Source organism: Homo sapiens, chromosome 3 (genome assembly GCF_000001405.40).
Source record: "Homo sapiens chromosome 3, GRCh38.p14 Primary Assembly".
NCBI classification, from domain to species: Eukaryota; Metazoa; Chordata; class Mammalia; order Primates; family Hominidae; genus Homo; species Homo sapiens.
This window is the reverse complement of record NC_000003.12, coordinates 22,874,844-22,880,874: the sequence shown is the minus strand read 5'-3', so window position 1 is coordinate 22,880,874 and position 6,031 is coordinate 22,874,844.

The window sequence follows — 6,031 nt, the reverse complement described above, 5'->3', positions numbered from 1 at the left end:
TGCTCAAATTGTTTCAGCTGACTTCAAAATTTTTCTGATGTAAACCCAGTGATTTTAAAGATTTTTCACTTTATAAGCTCTGACTTCATGTTATACATCATGTCACAGATTTGGAATCAGACATTTCTCCAAGAAACCTTGGTTGTTTTTGATGACTATGGAACTTAGAGAAACAAGCTGGTTGCCAGGATTTGAAGTAGAGTACAAAAATAATTATTGCCAATATGATTATTAAAAACAGAGATATTAGCCGTGGATTTTTCATAGATGTCCTTTATTAGATTGGGGACATTCTCTTCCATCTCTAGTTTCTTGACTGTTTTTGTCATGCAGTGGTTTTAGATTTTTGTCAAACACTTTTCCTTCATCTATTGAGATCATCATATATTTTTTACCTTTATTCTATTAACATTGTGCATTACTTTGATTAATTTTTGCTTGTTAAACTGACCTTGCACTCCAGGGATAAATCCTACTTGGTCATGGTATATAGTCTTTTCTATATGTTGCTGGATTCAGTTTGCTAGTATTTTGTTGAACTTTCTGTATTTATATTCATAAGAGATATTATTCTATTATTTTTCTTTTTGGTAATGTCTTTGTCTGCACTTGGTGCTGGAGTAATTCTGGCTTCATAGAATGAGCTGAACTGTATTCCTTCTTATTCTGTATTTTGGAAGAGTTTGTGAATGATTGGAGTTAATTCTTCTTCAAATGTTTGATAGAATTTAGTGGTGAACCATCTGGGCCTGGGCTTTTCTCTGTGGGAAATGTTTTGATTACTAAGTCAATTTCTTTATGTGTTATAGGTCTATCTATATATTTTGTATTTTCTTGAGTCAAGAAAATACAAATAGTAGTTTGTGTCTTCTAGGAGAGCATCCAATTCAACTAAATTATCTAATTTGTTGGCACACAGTTGTTCATAGTATTCTTTTATAACCCTTTGATTTGTACATTATACATAGTGACACCCTGTATTAACTTCTGATTTTAGTATTTTGAATATTCTCTTTTTTATTTTGGCTAGTCTAGCTAAAAGTTTGCCAATTATGTTTGTCTTATCAAGGTTTCAATATTGGTTTTGTTATTTTTTTCTAGTGTCTTTTTTTCTCCATTTCATTTATTTCTGCCCTAATCCTTATTATTTCCTTTTCTTTCTTTATTTTGGATCTAGTGTGCTTCTATTTTTTCAGTTTCTTAAGGTAGAAGGTTAGGTTATTGCTTTGAGGTCTCTTCTTTTAAACATAGGCATTTACAGCTTTACATTTTGCTCTGAGCAGTGCATTAGCTGCATCCTGTAAATTTTGGTATGTTGTATTTTAGTTTTCACTAATCTAAAATTATTTTCTGATTTTCCTTTTATTCTATTATTTCTAATTTTAATTTTATTTGAACCATAGTTTATTTAGGAGTGTATTGTTTAATTGACACATATTTATGTGTTTCTTGAATTTATTTCTGTTTATCATTTCTACATTCATTGTATTTTGGTCAGAGAACTTTGTGTATTAGTCTGCCAGGGCTGCCATAACAAAACACCATAGACTTGGTGGCTTAACCAGCAGAAGTTTATTTTCCTGCAGTTCTGGAGGTCTGAGTTCAAGGTGTTGGCAGGCTTGGATTCTTCTGAGGCTTCTCTCCTTGGCCGTGTTCTCCTTGTGTCCCTCTGTATGTGTCTGTGTCATAATTTCTTCTTCTCATATGGACATAAGTCATACTGGATTACGGCCCACCCTGGTGAACTCCTTTGAATGTAATTACCTCTTTCAAGACCCTGTGTCCAAATACAGTCTCATTCTGAGATACTAGGGATTGGGACTTCAACACATGAATCTAAGAGGGGACATAAACATCCAGTCAAAACAAGAGCGTACATGCATTTTATTTCTACCTTTTTCTGAGATAAAATAGCATACTGTACATACTTTTTCCATCTTTGTTTTTAAATTTAACAATATATCTTGTTAGTCACTCTAAAATACTACTTAGAAGCATTCATCATTCATGCTTCTAGCTGGAGTCATCCTTTGAAATCTGAATGACAATTATTATGCTATCAGCAAATCCACTGCTTATTATTACTGGATCATTTGTGATGTTCACAAAATAGTTGTGTCTTTTGGCTGTGTTAGGATGTTTCCTCAGAATCAGATCCTGATAGGGAGATTAGATTCATGTATAAGTGATTCATTAATGACATGTTCTCCAAAGAAATCACTAATGATATTGGGGAAGCAGGGCAGGGAAGGAGAGAAGGCCAAGCTAGAGCGTGCAGTCTCAGGTAATGTCCCAGTGAGGATAGCTTCAGCATGATCCCACAGGGGGATTCTTGAGAACCTGTCTCCAAATGGCCCCACTTGAGACAAGGCAGCTGGGCTTGCATAGTCATTGGTAAGTTTCTCCTCCCTTGGTCTCCCAAGGGACATATAAATTCCCAGGCATCTGAAGCCCTAGACTGTGGCCCCAGCAGGTACCAGTAGCATAAAAGCAGTGTCTGGAAAATTGCTACAGGTAGCAAATGCATACACAAAAGGGAATGAGGCTTAAAGTTGGAGGTGCTGCATAAAGAGACAATAATAAGATATATAATTGGGGATGGTGTCTGAGTTGCCTGGAAGGAACACTGATATTGTCCAATACAGTGGCAAAATTAAGACCATAGGTCATGTTAATTAGCCTATGTGGCTTACTGAACAATAAATTTGTCCCCCACTTTATATGTTAGAACAACTGATTTAAATATAAATGGTGGTCTATGAGGCTGTGAGATAAAAATCTAGGAAATAGAAAAATCACAAACACCCAGAAAAAGAAGGGTTTTCTGTTCAACAAACCCATTTATTAGCCTTTCCCCAAATATGTGATTAGCACACTAAAAGACATTAAAATTAAGCCTTAGAAGAAAATCTGAAATCTAAATTTACTAGAATGAGAGGAAAAAGTTTTCAATTTCCATCTTGCCTCTCATTTTGTTTTTAATACGACCAGAATCGAATAGATGATTGGTGAGGGCATGGAAAATTAGACTGGATTCTCCAATGACTGAACTTAATGCTGTGGCTGGACTTCGATAAAGAAAAGCAGGGCTCATTAGAACATAGTATGGATTTCCAGGTCTAAAATAATACCATCTGAAAGTGAACAGAAGTAATAAATATCTATCTCAACTTTTTTTTGCATGAAGAAGGGAGTCAGTGGACTAGTTCTTTAGGAAATTCTACTGGAGATGTACTCCACGAAGACTGTTTTCCATTCTACAGTGCCATCAACTGAATTATCAAAAAATGGCTGAATTAGAAAGAGAACACATAAAAACTCAGACAGAGAAGGTTTATAACCAGAAGATTCTTTAATACTTTAGTGATGTATTTGAGCCAAAGTGGATAAAACTGGATACTGGAAATTGTGCTTATGCTTGTTTTCCTTAAGGAATTCATTTAATGAAATATTGAGTAAAATCTTATTAAGATTAAGGACGGCATGGGAATGGCTTCATCTGGCATACTCAGAGGAGAGATTATATTGTTGCTTTGATTGACTTCAGGAAGAGTCAAGAAATCTCCATCTTAGGTTTGCTTAGGAAGGGAATGATTATGGAAGATTGATGGCCTTTTTCTGAGACTGAATAAAAAAGCTAATTGGGAGGGAATGAAGACCCATGACAGGCATCAGAATTAGTTAAGCAACCAGTATTATAGATGCATTACAAGAGAAACTCTGAGAGTTCTATTCTGTCTTCTCTACTTAGTCAACTGTTTTTTCATTCAATTCTTTTAAAGCATCTTCTGCGGGATAGGGAGATAATGATAAGTTAGACAGTCTAGTTACCCACCAGACCCACTAGACAATTGCTTTCCTTATTTATGAAGAATTCAGTTTGAAGAACTTTAGTTATTTGATTTTGCTACCTTCAGTTGCTCTCAGAAGGTATTTGTATATATGTTATGCAGTGTTTGCTTTCAAAATTTATTTTTCCGTCCATCAATTCTACAAATATATATCAAATACAGGTCATACGTTTGTATGCCGTAGTTATAAGATAGAACTTACAACTTTTTTCATGGAGCTCCTAGCCTAGAAGGGTTTGTAGAGAGAAGGGTCTATGGGGTCTATAGGGAGATATAGGTCTATATCAGGCAATTATGATCCTGCGATATAAGTGCCATGAGAGGAAACTCAGAGTCCCGGAGTGTCAGTATATAGGAAATGCCCCTCTTAGACTTGGATGGAAGCAGGAGTCAGGCTATTTCTCTGACAGCAGATGACTTCTAAGCTGAAAATAGAGGATTGTGTTGTTATATACAGATGCAAGATAAATGATCGATCATTACCTCTTGCCATAGATGAAACTACCCCTTGTATTAAGTCGGAGGGCAACATTTTATATTGTCCCTTCACTTCTACGTTAGTCCCTAATTGTATGCACGAGAGCCTAGAAGTTATTCTGGGCAAGCAGCTTCTACTGACGCAAGAATAAAGAACTATGCTCCCATGCACTCTCTTTCTCTTCTCCTGCCCCCACAAATCAGCTCATTTAATGACGTAGTTTTATCTTCACCAAGTAGATTATAGGCCATTCTTCCTTATTGGGTATGAGAGTGATAAAAATATCTGACATTACAGAAAATACCCAAATATTACTTTTTGTTTCCACTTCTCTCCTTACTGAAATCTTAGACCAGACTTTCCATAAAATATTTCCATAAAAATTTCCATAGGATGTCTGCTTGACAGTTCTTTTAGTCTACTTGTCTGTGATACCTCCTATAAACCTCCTCGTGGGTGCTCATAAATGTGTAAAAACTTCTGTGTTCAGATCTGCTAAACTGCACTGATGTATTCTTGTTTATGTGAACAAGTGGTCCCAGTTGAGATCACCACTTATTCAGGCCCAATTAAAGCCTTTGGAAGCAGGCATACCTTAACACAAGATACCAAGACGGCTTTGGTTTGAGGGAATCAGAAAAACAAGCATAAACAAACTATTGGGAAAGTCACAGCCATGCAAAATTTTACATTTACAAAAATCAACCCATGTGGCCTGGGGTGTCAAGTGGTCACTCAAAAGTGGCTTATTAATCAGCTGTTCTCTGAACTGGCAGGCCTTCTGGCAAATGGGCAACTTCCAGTTGTACTGTACTTTTTGGTTTCTTTTATTTACTGCTGCGTTCCAATGCTTGGAACAGTAGCTGCTATAGGAGATGCTCAGTAAATATTGGCTGTATGTGAATAAAAGTTCTATAGCTTTGCAAAGAAATTGGTTCTATATTGTTAGATGTTTCTAGTTTGTTTTGCCTGTAATAATTTATTTATATGTTGTACAGACGAATTTATAATGTCTGTCTCCTTGAAATCCCCCTGAGGGTAAATGCTAAGTCTTTTAATATTTAATAACTCACCACAGAGTTTGGCCCAAAATATACCAGAATGGGAAAACATATCAAAGACATGTCTTATTGATGGTGAACGGCAACAAATTGCATTTTTTGTATTATGACACAATTCTCATACATGCTAACTTCTAATCCTTGCAACTGCTCTTGACAAAGGCAGAGCGAGTGGTGGTGTTTCTAATGTGAGAAAACTGAGGTAGAACAGAGCAAATTGGCTTGCCACAGGTCTTATGGCCTGCAGGTGGAAGAAGTAGGAGAAGGACACAGATCTTGTGGCTCCTTCTCTAGTTCTTGTTCTCAAAGAACTAGAATCTTTTACCTCTAAGGCAGCCTTTAACCAAGGATGGATAGGTGGGGTGGGAAAATACTTCAGTCTCCTTACTCTCTGTTGGAGCACCTCTGAAGTATGACCCACATGATCTCTGAATGTCCCTGTGGCGTTGACTCCAAGTTACCCTCTGTGGAGCTTTGCTTGATATTGTGCCCTTTACTACCTTCCCTTTCCCCTGGCACCTCCCATGCCCTTCCCCAAACTACCCCAACTTCATCCAATTTAGATAGTAGCTCTGGTATTTTTTAGTATCTTTATTATATTGCTTATTTACATATAGTAAATACATGTTTGTGGCAGACTA